At 39.6% G+C, this 20,844-nt stretch overlaps 1 protein-coding gene across 4 annotated transcripts in view, besides 5 other annotated features; it reads left to right on the plus strand.

Annotated features, from left to right (window-relative positions):
- Positions 1,176–1,295: an enhancer, noted in NCBI's record as "active region_29869". NCBI's record gives its function as "activates an Ori minimal core promoter by ATAC-STARR-seq in GM12878 lymphoblastoid cells {active_cell/tissue: GM12878}" and the evidence as "EXISTENCE:reporter gene assay evidence [ECO:0000049][PMID:35858748]".
- Positions 1,486–1,535: an enhancer, noted in NCBI's record as "active region_29870". NCBI's record gives its function as "activates an Ori minimal core promoter by ATAC-STARR-seq in GM12878 lymphoblastoid cells {active_cell/tissue: GM12878}" and the evidence as "EXISTENCE:reporter gene assay evidence [ECO:0000049][PMID:35858748]".
- Positions 1,912–20,844, plus strand: part of WDR44 (WD repeat domain 44) — a 103,889-nt gene continuing 84,956 nt past the window's right edge. For 3 of the 4 annotated variants that reach the window (NM_019045.5, NM_001184965.2, XM_011531353.4), the window contains exon 1: positions 1,945–2,419. In NM_019045.5, coding sequence (NP_061918.3) covers positions 2,343–2,419 — 77 coding nt within the window. In that variant the 5' untranslated portion in view covers positions 1,945–2,342. Of the gene's footprint in view, positions 2,420–20,844 lie in introns of all 4 variants that reach the window. The other variant, NM_001184966.1, reaches the window with a different exon arrangement.
- Positions 2,077–2,620: an enhancer, noted in NCBI's record as "H3K27ac hESC enhancer chrX:117480201-117480744 (GRCh37/hg19 assembly coordinates)". NCBI's record gives its function as "activates a minimal SCP1, AML or CMV promoter by ChIP-STARR-seq in naive H9 embryonic stem cells {active_cell/tissue: H9 hESC(naive)}" and the evidence as "EXISTENCE:reporter gene assay evidence [ECO:0000049][PMID:30033119]".
- Positions 4,116–4,710: an enhancer, noted in NCBI's record as "NANOG hESC enhancer chrX:117482240-117482834 (GRCh37/hg19 assembly coordinates)". NCBI's record gives its function as "activates a minimal SCP1, AML or CMV promoter by ChIP-STARR-seq in primed H9 embryonic stem cells {active_cell/tissue: H9 hESC(primed)}" and the evidence as "EXISTENCE:reporter gene assay evidence [ECO:0000049][PMID:30033119]".
- Positions 9,092–9,161: an enhancer, noted in NCBI's record as "active region_29871". NCBI's record gives its function as "activates an Ori minimal core promoter by ATAC-STARR-seq in GM12878 lymphoblastoid cells {active_cell/tissue: GM12878}" and the evidence as "EXISTENCE:reporter gene assay evidence [ECO:0000049][PMID:35858748]".

Consider the following 20,844-nt stretch of genomic DNA (forward strand, 5'->3'; position numbering starts at 1 on the left):
TGGAGTGTAGTGGTGCTATCTCAGCTCACTGTAGCCTCAACCTCCTGGGCTCAAGCGATTCTCCCACCTCAGCCTCCACAGTAGTTGAGACCATAGGCACATGCCACCACACCCAGTTAAATTTTGAATTTTTTGTAGAGACAGGGTTTCACCATGTTGCCCAGGCTGGTCTGAAACTCTTGAGCTCAAGAAATCCGCCTGCCTCGGCCTCCCAAAGTGCAGGGATTACGGGCGTGAGCCACCGCGCCTGGAACTAACACCTCTATCATATAGAGAAAACTAACTTTTTTTTCTTTGGAAGCCATAAATTCACTATTAGATATCTAGGAAGAGAATACATTCAGGTAGTTAACATCTTTCCATAAATATATATTTCCCTACCTTATATCTGGTATCTTTCCATAATCCAAAAAGAAAACAAAAAAACCTATCTTAGTGAGCAAAACGTTTTTAAAAGTTAGTACTTTGAGTTACATTTTTATACCTAGGAAGTTAATTAACATGTTTAAGACACATAAAACCTAATAATTTTTAGGTTTGACAAAAGTCATACCCTCACAAGGATCCACAAATCCCTTGTCTCCAATTCTGAAACTTCAAAAGCTCTGGAAACCAAGTTTCTGTTTTTTTTTTTTTTTAGTAATTTATTTGACAGTCAAATAGATCTATCTTAAACTTATTTGGCAGAAGCGTCTGACTCAAACTGAATGAGGCTATTTACTTGTATTTATTTATCCCGTATGAACAATCATATATCTTGCTGCAAAAATATTAATATATTTGATTACGCAGTGTTTTCCCTAAACTCCCTGGGGTATTATAGAATATACAGTATATGACATTTGGTTTTTACCCAAGTCCACTAGACCACAGCAGACCTTGCCCTGATTGCTTGACAAAGTCTAGAGCCCCTTTCCAGTTTCTCTGAGACCATACCCCTGGCTCCAATCCAGCCTTTTCTTGAATACTAATTGAGGCTGCACGAACAGCTCAAAATGCCTATCATGATGTCAGTTGGAGAAATAAATATGCTGTGTGATCATACTGAAAGTCAATGTTATCACCTTGATGGTCAATGACCCGTGGTTTAAGAAGGAACATCTCGGTTTTTTAAAAAGTACCTTTCTATTTTTATCACCGGACGCTGGGCAGTTGAGGATCAGAATTAAGCCATTAGCTCGTAGGCTTGCAATGATATCTGCTCAATAAATATTTACCATTTAGCTGACGCACATCTTGGGCAGTATGTAAGAACTTCTCTCACACTGTGTTGGCAGCGACAGACATGTGCGGAGAAAAAGTAACCGGAGGCCTAATACTGGCTCAGCTCCAGCAATAAATCCATCATTACACCATGGAACTGGCACACTCCCCGTGTATATCTCAAGGACCCCACCCTCTGGCCGGCAGGATCATATCTAGGGATCTCAATTAGAGATCTCGTAGTGAATAAGGGCGAGTTATTCTCGTAACGCCAGAGGTGGTGGACCTGCCGACGCCCTAGGGTGGGACATTCCGGGCTTGGATAGTAAGACATCGTAAATATACGCCAAAATGTCCACACCAACGTTTCCCGAGAGTATTTCTTTACAAGTAAAAGACCGACTCAAAATCACCCCTCTCAAAACGCGTCTCTTTGGAACTGCAGAGTTAGGGAGTAAGACTTTCTGCCTGACCCCACCTACGTCGGCCGCGCGCTCTCAGAGCCAGGGCACCACGCTGCTCCTGCGCAGGTCCTAGACTCCTCCCTTCGGGAGGCTCACCCCCTCCCTTCTCGGCTACTTCCGGCCCTCACCGAACGCCCTCAACGCGCTTGCGCCGTTTTGATAGGCTTCTCGGGCCGAAGTAATCGGAGCGCTGCCTCTCTGGAACCGCCCCCGCCACCTCTTCGCCCCGCCCACGTATTACCGCCCCTCCGAAATCTCGCGAGGGTAGGTGCGCGTCGGTATTTTGCGGGCAACTAGCTCTTCCAGCTGCTGTAAATTGCTGCTGCGGGAGAAACTGGAGCCGCTGTAGCCGGCGCGCCCTTCTTCCCTTACTGCGAGGAGCCACCGCCTCTTTCGCGCTCCTTATACACCTATCACTGGGAGCGGTGGCAGCAACATTCCCTGGACCAACCGCCGCCTCTTCAGGCGGCCGCTTTGCCGGTCATTCCCGAAGCCCGGCAACTGAGGGCGGCCCCCTTTCCTTAACAGTCTCCTCGCTACAGATCGTCTGCTCCCTCAGCCTCGCCCGAGACCCACTTCCCCAGTCTCGCCCGGGTGGAGGTCGACGAGGAGGAGACAAGAGTCACCCTTCCTCCAGGCGGCGCCGGCCCCCTCACCCGCGGGTGTGTCCTATAAATGGCGTCGGAAAGCGACACCGAGGAATTCTATGATGCCCCTGAAGATGTGCACCTAGGGGGCGGCTACCCCGTGGGGTAAGTGACTGCAGCTATGACAGGAAGCCGGGCATCCCAAGCCCCCCGCATCTCCTGTGTCTTCCCCCTACACCCCTCCCAGGTCCCGCTGTGTCCGCCACCGCTGTTCCTCCCCGTCTCACTGGAGGACTTCAGAACCCAGACCTGGGGCTTCTTAGGGCGGGGTGACTCGGAGAAGGGGGAGTCAGCCACCTCGGGCAGCCTCCCGGCCGTTTCCCTACTGAACGGTCCCAGGGTCGGTCTCGGAGCCCGTTTCTCTTCTGATCCAGCCTTCTGTGAGGGGGAACAGCTTACGTGCCTGAGTCGGAGATTTGTATCTGTGGGGTTCTGAGCTTACCTTTCAAACATCCGTTTTGGCCTCGGGGACCGTAGATTAAAGGAGCAGTAACAGGAGAAATGTAACTTGTAGTTTTTTATTCTCCCGTTTACCGCTAACTTACCTATTCACTTCAGAGGTGGCTGTAACTCTCCCCTATTTGCCGTCCTCTTTTTCTTGCACACAGCGAAAAGGAGCGGGGGGAAGGTTGGGTATTTGCTTAAGAAAGTCCTCTAGCGAATGTACTCTAGATCAACAGTGTTTTATTAAAATAACACCTTATCGTGAGGTAAAGGAAATCGAATACACGGTCCCTATTAGGCAGAATGCGGTCTAAAAGGATGGCCAGACAGAAGAAATGTGCACAACTGACTGCAGAGGGACAAACAAGTGCTGAGTAATCTGGTGATTGGAAGGAGAGCCCCAGCTTTGTGTTCTTTATCTAATTCTGCAAGATGTTTTAGTGGTGATTAATATGGGTGATTCTGAATAGGAAGTACAGTAGTTGGAATGCTCGCTTGACTAGGACTTGTATTTACTTACCCACTTCTCCACTTTTCAAAGTTGGGGTAGTGCTTTAAAGCGATTTCGCCGAACTCCCCTACGAATGTACGTGGAAATAGAGGCAGTGAAATATATTTTCATGCTGTAAGAACTTGAGGATTGGTAAAATGTAGATGTTAGTATAAAGGACTAATATGGTTCGAGAAGTTCACTGCCTTCAATTCTCACACTTACTCCGTGGGAGTAATAACCCGCTGTGATGCAAGTATAGTTAGCCATGCATGCTAGAAGTCATTCTAAAAACTAATGTATGTTTATACACAATATGCACCAAAAAGTTACAGTAATAAAATCAGAAAGCAATGTACGTTGGTAGATTTCAGATGTTTGTCTTTCCACCAACCTTCATGTCACTGTTGTGGGATTTTGGGGTGGCAGTGGCCAATCTTGAGATGACACCGAATCTCCTTCAAGTTCAATATCTGAGACAAGTTTAGAGCTAGGTGTAGAGCATAGGAAATACATTTGGGTTTTGAAATGTATTGGACTTCCGTGAAACTTAATTTTTGTGTGTGTGGTTTTCCCTTCAAAGTAATGAACTGACAATTCAGATTGAATGAGACACCAAGTCCTTTGGTACTTTTGTGTGTGTGTATTGGGGTGGGGGAGGGAAATCATCAGTTTATGAGCTGATCAGTTTAGAACTACTCTGTGGATATTGTTCTTTCCACTGAATAAGTTTAATTTCAAAGGACGCAAGTTATATCAGGACCTGTGTAAACTGTCTAGTCCAGTACCTGGGCACAGAGAAAGCATTCAAAATGTTCATGCTTTTCTCCTTCCTTTCTTGGCATTGGCAAATTTGTTAACTTTACACAAAGCTTATTTTGGGAGATATATAGAACTTGGACCTATTTTACTTATCTAAACCGGATGAGTCATTTTGATAGAATTGATAGAGTCACTTCTTCCCTCATGAGATAATACAGCTTCTCAAGCACTTTGATCCTCTGATATTAGGTGAAAACTGAAAAAGGTTTTTTTGGAACTCAGCTTTCTAATTTTAACTTTAACCTGCCCAATTACTAAGTGTGTTGAGTTCTATGGATAAAACTACAGGGTCAGTTTGTGGATTTCAGGGCTCCTTTCTGTATTAGAGGATTGGAAAGACAATAGACTAATCTGGAGAATTGCATCTGAAAAGAACTGGCAGCACTGAGGGCAGAAAAAGGTTAGCATCATTTACATTTTCCTCTATCCTTTGTGGAAGGTTGTATCATTTGCATAAGACACCGTGAGGAGATCTGGGTGGGCAACTTATAACCTAGAAATGTAGTGAGAAATCTTGATTTGTGGAAACAGATTGCCTTACTAGATATTGGTCATCAGAAATATGTTCTGTTCCTTCATATGATCTGGAGTGGCAAACTATACAATTTCTAAGGTTAATAGACTGAATTTGGGCACTTCAGAAATGTTCCTTGCTGTTGTGTGTTTGGGAGTACACAGACTATGTCAACAAATTGTAGTAAACTGAATAGGCAGTGGAGACTTATCTCATGTTTTGTTAATTAGCACAATCCTAATACACAAGCTATTTCCTAAAATTAATTTATTTCTTGCATTTTCCTTCCAATGATGTCTTCGGCTTTGTTAATCTACTCTTTGAAAGCAAATTTAATAAGTTAAAAATCAGCCCAGTTTTTTTAGAGACTTTTAATTCCAGTACAGCCTACTTTTCTACAGTGGCAGATGATCTTCACTTGCCCAGCTTTGCAATATATGCCGTATTTATAATGCTTTTTTATTGATATTTTAGGTCAGGTTTTCTTTATTTTCTTTTTTCTTTTCTTTTTTTTTTTTTCCAAGATAGGGTCTCACTCTGTTGCCCAGGCTGGAGAGGTGGTGAGATCATGGCTCACTGCAGCATCAAACTCCTAAGCTCAAGTTATCTTCCCACAGGTGCATACCACCCTGCTCAGCTAAAGGTTTTTTTAGAGATGGGGTCTTGCTATGTTGCCCAGGCTGGTCTCAAACTCCTGGCTTCAAGTGATCCTCCCACCTCAGTCTCCCAGGGCGCTGGGATTACTGTCAGGCATGAGCCATCTCGCCAGGCCCAGGTTTTCTCATTTTTATCTTCATTTTTACATATGAGGAACATTTTTTTTTTTTTTTGAGATGGAGTCTCGCTCTGTCGCCCAGGCTGGAGTGCAGTGGCACGATCTCTGCTCACTGCAACCTTCGCCTCCCGGGTTCAAGAGAGTCTCCTGCCTCAGCCTCCTGAGTAGCTGGGACTACAGGTGTGCGCCACCACGCCCAGCTAATTTTTAGGAGAGACGGGGTTTCACCATGTTCGTCAGGCTGGTCTTGAACTCCTAACCTCATGGTCCGCCCGCCTCGGCCTCCCACAGTGCTGGGATTACAGGCGTGAGCCACCGCACCTGGCCTAGGAACCTTAGACTCAGAGACGGTTAAGTGAATTTGTCCTAGGAGAGAGCTTTTAAGTGGCAGAACTGGGATTTGAAACCAGCTCTTCAGACTCCTAGTCCAGTATTTTTTTTTTTTTTTCCTGTGGAGGGCGATGAGAGCAGTGACAGAGAGGTGGACAGAGATCCTCCCCTGGTAAATTCTGGAGTAAAATGCTTTAGGACCAAGTTGCTGAATTGAACTGATACATCTCCATTAAAACCAGCAGCCTAAACTTTTTTGTTCTCTTGGCAAGAAATTCCACTTTCTTTCAGCAACGTGTATTTTTGTTTTGTCAGATAGGAATTTTGCAAGATCATAGCCTGTTGCAGCTAGAAGGGACATCTAGTTAAACTCCTTCGTGTAAAATGTTGTGAAAACTGAAACCTAGAGAGAGAAAGCAACTTGTAAAAGCTGCCACAGCAAATTAATGGTGGAGCTAGGTCTAGAACCCGGATCAGTTTGACTGTCTGGCGTTCTTTCTGCTACTGGGCTGTCTTTTGATAGAGCAGGAAAGAGAAGAGGAATCGTGTGGTACACTAGAAAAGAGCCCTGCACTGTGAGTCATTTTATTTCCTCATCTTTAAATTGAGGGGATTACACTCTTGAGAACCCTTCCAACTCTAAATGTCTTTATATTGAGGTTTAATAGTGTGCTTGTATTGATAAGCTTTTGTTCTTGGTAAATCTTTCGTGATTTTTTTTAATCTTTTCGTTTAACTTAATGGTATTTGGTACATAGTTCAAGACCCATAAATTTGAAATTAAGTATTTACTGGGTAAATTATATATGAGATGAATGCCCCTGCTAACTCATGTGGTTTATACTTACACATACTAAAGGCTGGCACTGAGAACATGTTGTAAAAATAAATGTAACATTTTCAGCACTCTTTTTTTTAGTGGCAGCCAAAATATTTTTGAGGCCTTGGAAGAAGGATAGAATCATAACATTTTTAGAGTAGGAAGGGACTGGAGATCATTTTAGCCCAGCCTTCCCTTTTAACTGAAAGTGAAATTTAGGGTCTGAGAGGGGAAGTGACACATTGCTAATAAGGGCAGACTTGGAACTAGAGCCCAGGTCTCTTGATTCCTCACTTATACCATGCTACCATGTCTGCGGAAGAAGGGAAAGTATTGCTGGCTATTCCTGCCATAGGTTTCTGGCACTTACCCTATTAGCTGGGCTTTTAAGATGGTTTACTTGACTGTTTCTTCATACCTTGCCTATCAGAGGTCTTGAACTATTTTAGAATCCTAAGTTTTGCTTACGAGTTTTTTCCAAGTGAAAGTGAAAAACAATGGCAAAATAGCTTGTCTAAGAACAGTGATTATTTGTATTATTTTATTCTTAGGCATTTAGTTAGTATTAACTGCAATCTACCATATTCAGATAGGAATAATGATAAAATCTTAAGTCATGGGAACTGAGACCAAACTGTCCTGAATAATTGTTAGGTCTGAAAAACAAAAAGGTGTGTAGCTGCCTTTGTTGAAAACTCAGCTTCTCACTTTACTTAGGTGTCAGAAACATTTCTCTCTGAATTGAAAATTGATACAAGTTTTAATTTAAAAAATACCTGTGCAATATTTATTACTTTAGGGAAGTTTCCTTAAAAATGGCTGTTTGTTGATGAGTTGACATTTGATCACAAATTTGATTACTGAAGGCTTTAAGGAGTGATAGAAGTATATTTACAAATGCTGTTTTATCGCACTCATGTAACATCATATTGAAGTGAGAAAAAACAACCCTCTACATATTAGTTAGTAAATTCAAGTTCTAAATTTAGTGACATCCGGCCGGGCACCATGACTCACGCCTGTAATCTCAGCAGTTTGGGAGGCTGAGGCGGGTGGATCACCTGAGGTCAGGAGTTCGAGACCAGCCTGGCCAACGTGGTCAAACCCCATCTCTACTAAAAATACAAAAATTAGCCGAGCATGGTAGCACACACCCAGCTACTTGGGAGGCTGAGGCAGGAGAATCGCTTGAACCCGGGAGGCGGAGGTTACAGTGAGCTGTGGTCATGCCACTGCACTCCAGCCTGGGCAACAGAGCAAGACTCCGTCTCAAAAATAAATAAATAAACAATTTATATTTAGTGACATCTGACTGTCAGTTGGTAACTCATGGGGGTAGGATAGTCCATAGTGGCATGGCAATTTGGGGGCTCAAGTTGAATCTGTATAAACTCCTGTAAATTGGAAACTGTATTCTCTTCTTGTGATAATCTACTTCATAAGATAGGACAGATAAAATTTGTGTTGTTTGTTTTTTGTTTTTTGTTTTTTTTTTTGAGACAGGGTCTCACTCTGTCACCCAGGCTAGAGTGCAATGGTGCAATCTCAGCTCACTGCAGCCTCGACCTCCCCAGGCTCAGGTGATCCTCCCACCTCAGCCTCCCAAGTAGCTGGGACCACATATGTGCACCACCACGCCCAGCTAATTTATATATATATATATATATATATATATATATATATTTTTTTTTTTTTTTTTTTTTGTAGAGATGGGGTTTCACCATGTTGCCCAGGCTAGTCTCAAACTCCTGGGCTCAACTGATCCACCCAACCTCGACCTCCCAAAGTGCTGAGATTACAGGTATGCACCACTGCACCTGTCCCTTGATTTTAAAAAATATTAAAAACCTAAATAGTTTTAGGATGTGAAGTATAGTGGTGGTCTTAAACAGAAAATAATTTCTAATTATTGGTATTTTAGACTTACTGTCTAACCTTTACATTACCCAACACTCCATGTGTTTGTACTCTTAAGTTCATTGTTAAGACTTTGACAGAATCAGGTGAATTTGCCAGGCAAGCACCTTTAAGAGGCTGCTTGTTTCCTCCTCATACTCTGCAATTTTGTTAGTTACTTCCTGGGGTAGTAGTGGAGGTGGAGGAAGGGAGTATAAAGAGATCATGCAGGTTGTGGTGATGGAGGTGGAAGAGGTAAAGGTAGCCCCAGCAGTAGGTATAGAGACCAAGTTACAGTGCTGCTTCCTGGGGCATGGATAACTGAGATAAGACAAATCCCATCATTTTGATACACATGTTCACAGCATGAATTAAATAACCCCTTCTCTAAGAGATTAATAACCTATAAGAAATACCTCAAATCAAAGTTAAAGTAACAAAAATTGTAGGTACTTTATGATGTCCTACTGATATTTAGCTTGAATTGATAAATAACCTATGTTTCTCATTTCTATCCATAGTTAGGCTAATATCTACAAACTTTCACAAGGACTGTTCCCCTCTCACTGTTGGATATTATTCAGCTAACCAGCTAAACCTTTAATAGGGTGCTTTCCTTACTCTTCAGAGTGAAACTCTTTCTATTCCCTTATTTCAAACTCAGCAGTGTTTGTGTTAGTCTGTCATCTCATGATTCAAAACCGAGGAAAAAGCACCTACGACATAATGTGGGCCTCATACCTGATGGCAACCCTGATGTTTTTCCTCAGTCAGTATACAAATTTATCTTGGTTACTATAGCAACCAGTCTATCAGTTATTCTTCTAGCTCTTTTGCCTTCTCTCAGATACTAGGATTACCATATAATCAGGTTCTGCCAGAGCGCTTCAGGTCTTAGAGTTCTATTACCAGCTGCAACTGTCTGGCAGTTCACAGTTTGGCATTCCATCAGAGTCAGTTGTTTTTTAAGTCCACAAAACCTTTTTGTCTCCAAACCTTTTTAAACATTTTAAACATATATAATTTAACAAAAACATGTTTAGGCAGCAATTTCCTCATACTAATTTTCTCAATCCAGTGTTAGTCATTGCCCTGAAGATTGAATGCATTGCATCACTGCATCCAATAGCCATCCCTTTATAATAACAAGTAGAATCAATTTCCAGATCGAGGGTGACCATTTAGGAAATATATTTGCAAATGTGATTTTAGACTCAGTATCATCACAAACTAGCTAAAATGACTTAAAAGCATCTTGATCATCAGCAGCTACCAAATAATCCAGCTTTTAACAAAAATGATTTCTATAGGTTGTAGAAAGAATGTTTGGCCTTTAGATTAATTCATTTTAATTTGAGAAAACTGTTTAGAAAACTAATAGGAAGTGTTATCTTTTGTAGCCCTTGAATAAACAGGAAGAGAACAGTAAAGACTGAATAGTTGTATGGGTCTTTTTTTTTATATTTATTTGACATACTTTTTTAACTCTTAAAAATCTCAGAATTCATGTAACTAAAATAGTTTTAAATTATAAATATGTTTACCTGTTTTGGTCAAAACAAGGATTGGCCAGGTACAGAAGCTCATGCCTGTAATCCCAGTGCCATGAGAGGCTGAGGTGGAGGGATCACTTGAAGCCAGGAGTTTGAGACCAGCCTGGGCAATGTAGCAAGACCTCATCTCTACAAAAAGTTTTTAAAAATTAGTTGGACATGATGGTGCATGCCTATAGTTCTAGCTATTTGGGAGATTGGGGCAGGAGGATTGCTTGGGCCCAGGAGGTCGAGGGTGCAGTGAGCTATGGTCACGCCACTGTACTCTGGCCTGGGCGATGGAGCCAGACTCTGTCTCTTAAAAAAAAAAAAAAACTATAGTTAAATTATGATAATGCTTCAAGGAAATCTTTAATTGTACAAATAGACTTAAGACTGGTTTCACTTTCTCCACAGAGTCCTGATCTTTAAAATTTTTCAAAGGGGGAGTCAGGTTTTTAAAAAATCTGAGGATGAAATATAAGATTTTTTGAAACTTCTGAGGGAAAACTTGAATGGTATTTTTTTTTATTATACTTTAAGTTCTGGGGTACATGTGCAGAACATGCAGTTTTGTTACATAGGTATACACTGAATGGTATTTTCTAATAGGTATCCTATACAGAACAAGCCATACCTGTAACAAGCTATCTATATCTGTATAAAACCTACTTGGCCACTACTAATTGTAATAGACTATTCCAGTACAAAACTCATTGAACCATGGGCATTCTTATGAACCACAGATCAAACTTTCTAGAGAACCTATAAATAGTATGTAGTGCTGTATGCAAACTCACTGTCCCAGGAGCAAGCATCCTGATTACTAAGCAAGCTCAAGAGAAGAGGTGGGAGTATTCTTTCTGACATTGTTCTTGAACTGGTAAGAATAGCTGTGGATGAACTTAATATCCATAGTCCTCTTTTAATTCTGTGCCTGAAAGTATTTATTGAAATTGGAAGACTAAGGGAATCATCTTTCTGGTTATTAGCAGTACTGTTAACAATTGAATTTTTTTTTTAAATCTGTCTTTTAAAATATATTACCTATCCATGCCAAACTAAAATGGCAGGTGGATTGAACATTTCACTCAGCCCCAACTCCACCCCTTTCACTGCCAGCTTTTTCTTTCCTAGCATAGTCAATGTCATTAGTACAGAGATTTCCTAGTATAACTACTTCTTGTCCCTTAAAACTGAGAAGGGTCAGTGATGGAAGAAATATAAAGGGTGGGAACTTTTGGAAGGAGTAAGGGAAAAATTGGTTGCATTGGATATGGTGGACAAGTTGGTAAAGACTTTAGTGTTACAGGTGGTGCTTAGTCATTGGATTAGTGAAAGATGGGTGAGCAGAATGAACAAGTAGCTTGATAAAACTAGTAGCTTTGTGAGTGAAAGCAAGTAGATTTGTCTGTATTTTGCAATGGGTATTTTATCTTTATTAGCTTGGCTTAAGGGTTAAGGTTAATGATTGAGATCAGTCCTTTTTCCTTTAAGTGCACCTTACTGTGCCTATTATGTCCCAGATCATAGCCCTTAGCTGTTGACTTTTAACCTTTGCCTTATTTCCCAGCATAGTCCACAGTTATGTCTAGCAGTGCACACAAGGTTTAGTTGGGGAGGCGGGTGGTGAGTAAGCATGCTCTGTGGTATCTACTGCGCTTCACAATTGGTTCTGATTTTGAACTTCCTGGTTCTCTCCAATCTCCAGTCACCCTTAAACACACACAGGTACCAGTTCCTATAAGAGGAGGTAGGTAAGGGAGCTGAGGCAAAGAGAGTGCTTTGGATGTATAGGATCTTCATAACTTGAGGACATCCTATACCCAGTAAATATTAAATGTTAACAGTAAAACCTTGGGTGGTGTTGCCAGTTATCCTGCATTCCTATCAGTTCCTTGTTACCAACTTTTTTTTCAGGAATGAATGTGTTCACAGTAAGAAAGAAATATTATAGTGCTACATGTTACATGCAAAGAACGATAACACCATAACACCATAATGCTAACTAACGGTGGGCATTTGTTTTCAAAGTTCTTTTAAAAAGTTACTGTTTCAAACAATGAAAAGCAGTATTTTTATGCCCTTCATTTTAAGCTTTGACATAATTGATTACGGCATGGTAGCCAGGTCAGAAAATGACCTTGCTTCTGAAAAAGCTGGAATCCCAGACACTGTTCACTGCATTTCAAAGAGTTATGGTCTTTGTTCCTAAGGGAAACCCCCTCAGGATATGAGCCATTGCTGATTTGGGTTTCAGTGCCGTGTCAAAAAGTCTTAATCCCAGATTTTTTTTTTTCCTACAATTGTTTTATAGATTGTTGTCAGTTGCTTAGTTAGGCCACAGTACTGTATTGTGTTTTGTTTTTATTTTAGTATAACTGATTCATTTTTTTGGCCACAAGCCTCTAACTAGAAACACAATGTTTCTTTTTCTCTTTCCCTTCAAATGTGTTTTGTAGCAGTCACAGAGAGTGACTGCTTTGTCACTCTTTGTGACTACCTACCTAATCAAACCTCTATTGGCTTTCAAACTAATGGGAAAAATGTATTCCTAATAGCTGGGTAATTACAAAAAAATTAAATGATTAGTAATTACTGTTTAAGATGTAAATAAGATTGAACAATTTGTAATAATAGTAAAGGGCTTAAACTTGATCTACATAGTGTGTTCTGTAGGTAAGCATTCTAGATAATTGAAGATTTTTGTAGAATATATATATCAAGTCATTGATATATATTTCTTTCTTTTTTTTTTTTTTTTGAGACAGAGTCTTGTTCTGTCACCAGGCTGGAGTGCAGTGGCACAATCTCGGCTTACTGCAACCTCCACCTCCCGGGTTCAAGCGATTCTCTTGCCTCAGCCTCCGGAGTAGCTGGCATGCCACCAAGCCCAGCTAATTTTTGTATTTTTAGTAGAGATGGGGTTTCACCATGTTGGCCGGGATGGTCTCAATCTCTTGACCTCGTGATCCTCCCACCTCGGCCTCTCAAAGTGCTGGGATTACAGGCATGAGCCACTGTACCTGGCCTGATATATATTTCATTAGAAAAAGAATGTAGAAGTAGAAATTCAAGTACATAAAGCATAGAAATTAAATTTAGAAAATAAAGTACTTAATGGCAGATTTTACTGAAATATATTTGAGTTTTTGTTATTCATGATATTGTAGGAAAACATGAATAATTAAAAGCTGTCAGTTACACAACAATCTCAGGTCAGTCATTAGTTTACCATCAAAACTTTTATCAAAGATAATAACAGTAGGTTTTCTTTAATTTTAAAAAATAAATAGTTTGGTTTGAGTTTTGTTCCTCTGCTCATCTTTGGTGATGAGCAGTGAACTCAAAAGAAGGAAAACAAGAAATCTTGAAGTCTGAGTAGTTCACTAATAGAATTTATCAATTTAAATTTTTAAAAAGGGGGGCTCACGACAGGTGCTTTAGAATGCTAGTTTTTATTTAGAAGTTACTGGCATTTACTTTTAAAAATTAGTACCCCACCAGGTGTGGTGGCTCATGCCTGTAATCCCAGCTACCCAGGAGGTTGAAGCAGGAAGACCCTTTGAGGCCAGGTACTTGAGACCACGCTGGCCAACATAGTGAAACCCTGTCTCTAACATTTTTTTTTTAAACTTAACCAGGCATGGTGGTACTTGCCTGTAGTCCCAGCTAGGTGGGCGTAGAGGGGGATTACTGGAGCCCAAGAATTCAAGGCTATAGTGAGCCATAATCACACCACTGCATTCCAGCCTGGGCAACAGAGTGAGACCCCGACTCTTAAAACACACACAGCTGGGCGCGGTGGCTCATGCCTGTAATCCCAGCACTTTGGGAGGCCGAGGCGGGCAGATCATGAGGTCAGGAGATCAAGACCATCCTGGCCAACATGGTGAAACCTCATCTCTACTAAAGATACAAAAAATTAGCTGGGCATGGTGGTACACGCCTGTAGTCACAAACTAGCTAAAAATGACTTAAAAGCATCTTGATCAGCAACAGCTACCAAATAACCCAGCTTTTAACAAAAATGATTTCTATAGGTTGTAGAAAGAATGTTTGGCCTTTAGATTAATTCATTTTAATTTGAGAAAACTGTTTAGAAAACTAATAGGAAGTGTTATCTTTCTTTTGTAGCCCTTGAATAAACAGGAAGAGAACAGTAAAGACTGGATAGTTGTATGGGTCTTTATTTTTAAAAAGCCATATGTCTTTCTTTTTTTATATTTATTTGACAAACTTTTTTAACTCTTAAAAACTTCAGAATTCATATAACTAAAATAGTTTTAAATTTTAAATATGTTTACCTGTTTTGCTCAAAGTAAGGATTGGCCAGGTACAGAAGCTCATGCCCAGTGCCATGAGAGGCTGAGGTGGACGGATCACTTGAAGCCAGGAGTTTGAGACCAGCCTGGGCAATGTAGCAAGACCTCATCTCTACAAAAAGTTTTTAAAAATTATCTGGGCATGATGGCACATGCCTGTAGTCCTAGCTATTTGGGAGGCTGAGGCAGGGGAATCGCTTGAACCCAGGAGGTGGAGATTGCAGTGAGCCGAGATCGCACCACTGCACTCCAGCCTGGCGACAGAGCGAGACTCCGTCTAAAACAAACAAAAAAGAAAAAACCACCACCACACACAGATTAGTACTCCATTTAATGTTTTAGGTAACTTACAAAACCATATTAATATGGCCAGGCATGGTGTATCACACCTGTAATCCCAGCACTTTGGGAGGCCGAGGCAGGTGGATCGCTTGAGGTCAGGAGTTCCAGATCAGCCTGGCCAACATGGTGAAACTCCATCTCTACTAAAAATACAGAAAGTTAGCCGGGCATGGTAGCACACAGGAGCTCCTCCAGCTACTCGGTAGACTGATGCAGGAGAATCCCTTGAACCCGGGAAACAGAGGTTGCAGTGAGCCAAGATCACACCACTGCACTCCAGCCTGGGCGACAGAGTGAGACTCCATCTCAAAACCAAAAAAAAAATCTTAGCACTTTAGCTTGATAAAGCTTCTGTAATACGGCCTGTAGCCCAACATCTTGTTTACTTTTTCAAAAGTAACAGTGATCTAGCATGATTGCATTAGATATTGATTTCTCTAGGCAGGCATAAATTTAGTTATCTGTTTCTGTCTTGATTTTACTGGAAATTACTTTAAGTCATTAATAGATTTGACTTTTATTCTAACCTACTTTAACAAATTGGGACATGGTGATATAGCTGCCTTACCTTGGTGTTATTGTTTTACTGCAGGTATTTATTGAATGGTTGTGAATGTGCAGAATAGAATGTTTTTAGTTTGGAATCCTTGAGTAGGCCCAGGAAAGTGGTTTTCTGTTTATGTCAGTAAATACATTATCAAGCTGTTCTTTTAGGAATATGGCATAAAGCTGCACTACATACATCATTTTTGAAAAATCAGGTTGTCATTTTAGATAAGATATAATTGTAAGAAGGTCCACTTGAAGTTTTGTAATTACCCTGTATGTGAACAGATGTATATTTCACAACAAAGTTTCCTTTGATTTCATTAAAGATCATTTACAAATATTGCCACAAAACCTTTCAAAAAACATAGGGCCATTGTGCCAAATTTTCTCACTATTTCTATTAATATCATTGATAAAATAATTATTAGTTAATTTTAGATGTAATCTGCTATGCTTTCATAGTATTTAAAATTTAAATGTCCTTTCAAAAGGTAATAAAAGTAATAATTCACATCTTGAAGATTCAGTTAATATCCTATTGGATAATTGTCATAACTATTCTCAGCTTTTTGTGAATGTTGTTAATAAACCAGTATTGCTTTGCATCCAAGGAAATTCGAGTGATTTCTATTTTCTGCTGCCTAGTTACCTGAGATTTTGGGATGTACTAGGAAAATCAGACTAATTTATGATTGCCTAGCACTTATTTTTTTCCTGCTGTTTTTAGACTTTTCAGGTTTAGTTGGTATTATCACTTTTGGTAGTAGTCAACTTAAAATTATTAGTAGTCAACTTAAAATAGGACTGTGAGAATGAGAGTGGTACTGTTACAAATTATTTAGGTTTGAAAGGCCAGCAGATGATTTTTCTCTTAGATGCCATTTCTTCAATTTGAGTAGCACTGTCTTTAGGTTGAAGGTGCTTATATACATTTCAACTCCAGTGTACAGTATTACATACCACATTTTAAAAGCTGTGCACTTAAAGCAAGATTTAAGAACAAAGGAGAACAGTCTCTTGTTCTCTAAACTTGAAGTGTTTTTAATTTTTGGTTCAACCTAGGGTTAGTTTTGTTTGTTTTTATTTTTGTTTTTTGCTTCATTTTTTGTTGTCATCATTTTTCTGCCTGGCCTCAGTGGGCCCAAGAAAGAGTTCTTGTTAAGTGTTTCCTGAGGACCAGACACGTGATTCCCTGTTTAGACTTAGCACTTCAGTGTCGGTCTTAGTTTGCTATCAAATCTTACTGTTTCAACTTGCTGGACTTTAGAAATCAAAACTCTTTAATTAGTTGCTTACTTTAATGACTGGCTAAGTCCTTATCTATGCTCATACCCTGTTCACCTCAAGGACCTTAGAATCCTAGCGCCTTCTTTGTACAGGCAAGCTATTCTTTGCTTTGCTTGATTCAGTTCCTTGGTGCACTGCTTAAGCTCATCTTACTTTTATATTTTCTTTATAACAAAGGATAGAGGGGGATAAAAACAAAATCAAGCTGTAGGGTAATTTCCTGGTGAACCTTTTGTAGTCACTTTCATGTAAGAAAAATGTTTCCCAAGCAACCAGCTTTATTCTAGCTGACTCACTTTGTACTCCCTCCTTCCATGTCATTGCTCCTTTTTACCTCTTTAGGAGTCTGTTAGGAATTTTGCAACCTGACAAAAGGCTTCTGCAGAGCCAACCACCTTTTTTTTTCCTCAGGGCCTGAAAAAAAAGTGAGTCTTCCTACTGACAGGAAAATAAAAAGAGACCTTGTTAGTCAATTTTTTTCTGTATGTTCAATTGTTCTGGTATATTCTTTTCCTTGAGTATAAAGAAAAGTCTGAAAATAATGGTAAAAGTGTGAGATTGCTCTGATATTTCCTTTTTGTACTTTAGGAGGTGGTTCTTTGAGTTCCTAGTTGTTTAGTTGAACATGAAGCAGGTGGCAAATGTAAGTTTAGTCTACACACTGATTCCTTCCTGTTCGCAGAAGGGTTCATGTGTTCGTTTTTAAATAATCTTCGGGTAAGGAATAGAGAAACACCAAGCCCAAGAGGCAGAAGGATCTGTCTATAGCTAATGAGTGAGAAACTAACTGTGGGATGGTTTATGGTCTCTGGCTCTTTGAAACCACAGAAATTTAAAGTTATTTTTAAAAAGCCAACTTGACTGGGCACAGTGGCTCATGCCTGTAATCCCGAGGCAGGCGGGGGGCCAAGGCAGACAGATTTCTTGAGCCCAAGAGTTCAAGAACAGCCTGGGCAATATGGTGAAACCCCATCTTCTCAAAAAAATTAAAAAATTAAAAAAAAATTAGCCATATGTGGTGGTGCATGCCTGTAGTCCCAGCTACTCTGGAGGCTAAGGTGGGAGGATCACTTGAGCCTGAGAGGCGAAGGTTGCAATGACCTGAGATCATGCCACACTGCACTACAGTCTGGGAAACAGAGACCTTGTCTCAAAAAAAAATAATAACTACACCTAAGCACTTACACCATTATTTTAAGTCCTGATTACTTTAAGGCCATACCACATGAGTGCTGAAGATCTGAGTTTAAAATTGGAAAAGGTGTTCCTATAATTGCCTGGAGAAAAACCAATAATTGCCCAGAGAAAAACCACTTGCAGAAGCTATGAAAAACCAAGTTAGATTCCTACTAGTCAGCCACGTCAGTAGCTGATTTCAAAATATGAGTTTTGCAGTAAGCCAGGCAAGACAGTACAAGTAGCTTCTATTTGGGGAATCTAATCTATATAGGTTCTTAATACATACTTGCATTGATTGCCATTCAAATCTAGGAGCTATTAGTGCTTCAGCTGTGGGAAAATTGTGAGATTATGCATTGACAGAATTGAGAAGCAAATTCTACTTCACGTTGCAGAAGGCTCATCAGATTTTAGATTGATATAGAAATAATATAACGAATATTTCTACTACGCTTTTTGTAAAGTGAGGAGACTGTTCTAAAGTGACTTTGTATATGTAATAACTGAATCCCTTTTTAATGACAAAATAATTTTAATTGATATTTATCTAGAAAGTTGGTTGTTGATGGTTATTTGACCTATACAGGTTAACCTCATTTTGAACATGTTGACTGAGGACAGTTTCAGTGATTATAAGTCAAATCACATATCTAGAGATTTTGTCAATGTATTACAGTAGCCATCTTGGTTTTGTGGGGCAATCTAAGCCAAAAAATAATGAAGCTGTTTATATACCTTCCTGCTTTTTGCTGAGCATTTTTGATAAATGTACATAATACCATACATGTAGTATTTGCATTTAAGCCTATTCAGTGCATGCACTGTCTGGAAGAGCTCTGACTAAATAGACACGTGCAAATTTTTTCCCCATTCAGTGAACACTATTAAAAAATCAGATGAATATTTATACAGTGGCATTGGCCATGCAATTCTTCCTGCTTTGTCCCTTTATCACACACTAACAGAACGTAGGATTAATTATCCACCTAATTAACTTGGGGGTGGGGTAGAGTTGCTGGATAAAGTACAAGACACTCAGTTCAATTCCAATTTCAGATAAACATACTAAAAATGTATTCATTGTTTATCTGAAATTGGAATTGAACTGGGCATCCTTTATTTTTAGTTGCTAAATCTGGCAACCCTAGGTGGGGAAGAGGCAGGAGACTAGTAGATATAGGCACAGTTGTGAGATTTAAATACACCATGCAATGACAAGAGTAACCTTTACTCTCACGGGAATACTAAGTGTTTTTTAGCGCAATGCTATTTATTTTAGTGTCCAATGCTTTTTTCTTTTTTTTTGAAAATGCATCAATGCTCAAAGCTCAAAAATAGTAAAACGTGGCTCACACTTATAATCCCAGCACTTTGGGAGGCAGAGAGGCAGGCAGATCACCTGAGGTCAGGAGTTCAAGACCAGTCTGGTCAACATGGTGAAACCCTGTCTCTACTAAAAAAAAATACAAAAGTTAGCCGGGCGTGGTGGCAGGCACTTGCAATCCCAGCTACTTCGGAGGCTGAGGCAGGAGAATTGCTTGAACCGGGAGGTGGAGGTTGCAGTGAGCCAAGATCGTGCCGTTGTACTCCAGCCTGGGAGATAAGAGTGAAACTCCGTCTCAAAAAAAAAAAAAAAAAGGGAGAAAAAAGAAAAAAATAGAAAAATGTAACAACATATTGTTTAGGGATACATGCACGTATGATGAACTGTTTTTGAAAACAAAAAATTAAGGGAACAATAAGCGAAATCTGGGATAGTGGTTACCTCTAAGGGAGCAGCAAGCAGATGGAATAAAGCACATAGTAGCTGCACTGGTATTAATGCTAATTCTCAGTTAATGTGGTAAGTGACAGGATGTATTTTTTTATGCTTCATAATTACGTGTACACATTGCACATATCAAATACAGAATAGCATTTTAAAAGATAAGTTAAAACAGACTTCAATAAGAAAATTAGCCTATGTGCAAAATTTAACTGTATATACTTTCTAAAATAAATCCAAAATCCAAAAAGTAAGGTCAAAAGGCATTCTGAAATTTTACCAGTTTGCTAAAGATCATATTGAGTAATTAATAGATTCTAGAATGATTACTTATCTGCTGTAATACATCTAAAATAATTAAACTCTTTGGTTTGTGAAAATTTCATTTTTATTACTTGATGTCTACAGTGGTGAATCTTCAGTTTTTGTCTTTACTTGGAAAGATTACTGATTGTTCAGATATATTATATGCCAAATTAAAGGAAAGAAAAACAGCAGGTAGAGCATGCATTAAGTGATTAATTCAAATGAGCTAGGCCTAAACTTTAGGATTCCTGGAACAAAAAATCAGAAATCTCTGTTTTCCTTGATTAATTTTTAAAAGTTAGATTTCTAACTCCTCGTTTGTAAAAACTATTATGACAGTCTACAATATCCATCAGTAAGCAGAAAAATTCATCTTTAGCAAGTGCCAGTTTAGAGCATTAAGCTGAAGTTAGTGTTTAGTGTAAATTTATTTAGTGTTTTAAAGCACTTCTAGCTCTCTGTAGTCTTATATAATTTTGTCTTGTAGAAATAGCTGGAGGGTCTATTCCAGAAAGCCTATCCAAATATGTCCTCTTCTCCCACTTACATACACACTTAGGTGCCCCTCCTCTGTGCTTCAAGGTTATCATGTGCTTGTGTCTCTCATTGCAATTGTTACCTTATATTGAAATTATGTGTTATATTTTCCTCAGCTTATCAGATTGTGACCTTTCTGTGGGCAAGGGCTGGATCTTTCTCACCCTTTGTATTTCAATGCCTGAAAGTGCCTGGCACATGGTAGATAACCAATAAGGATTTGTTGACTGAATGAAGGGGCCTAAAGACTCAACTAATACAGCTCCTTCATTTTACAGGTGTGGAAACTGAGGTTTAAAGAGATTGTGGCTTTAGAAATAGAAACAAGACCACAGAGATTGTCTGTTCCAGCCTTCTACAATATCCCTATTGAGACATCATTGAGTTTCTGTTTTAATACTTTATCAGGGAAGCAGCTCATGGCTTTTTCTAAACTCAGGTTGTTACTGAGATTGTTAGGTTGAACAAAAGCCTATCTCTTTGTAATTTCTACTCTTAGTCCTAGTTCTGCTGCATAATGCTTCAAACATTTGAAAACAACTACTTTTCTTCCTTATCTTCTTCTGGTTAGCCATCCTTAGTTCTTTATATCATTCCACTCAGTTTCTAGAACATTC

Source organism: Homo sapiens, chromosome X (assembly GCF_000001405.40).
Source record: "Homo sapiens chromosome X, GRCh38.p14 Primary Assembly".
Classification (NCBI taxonomy): domain Eukaryota; kingdom Metazoa; phylum Chordata; class Mammalia; order Primates; family Hominidae; genus Homo; species Homo sapiens.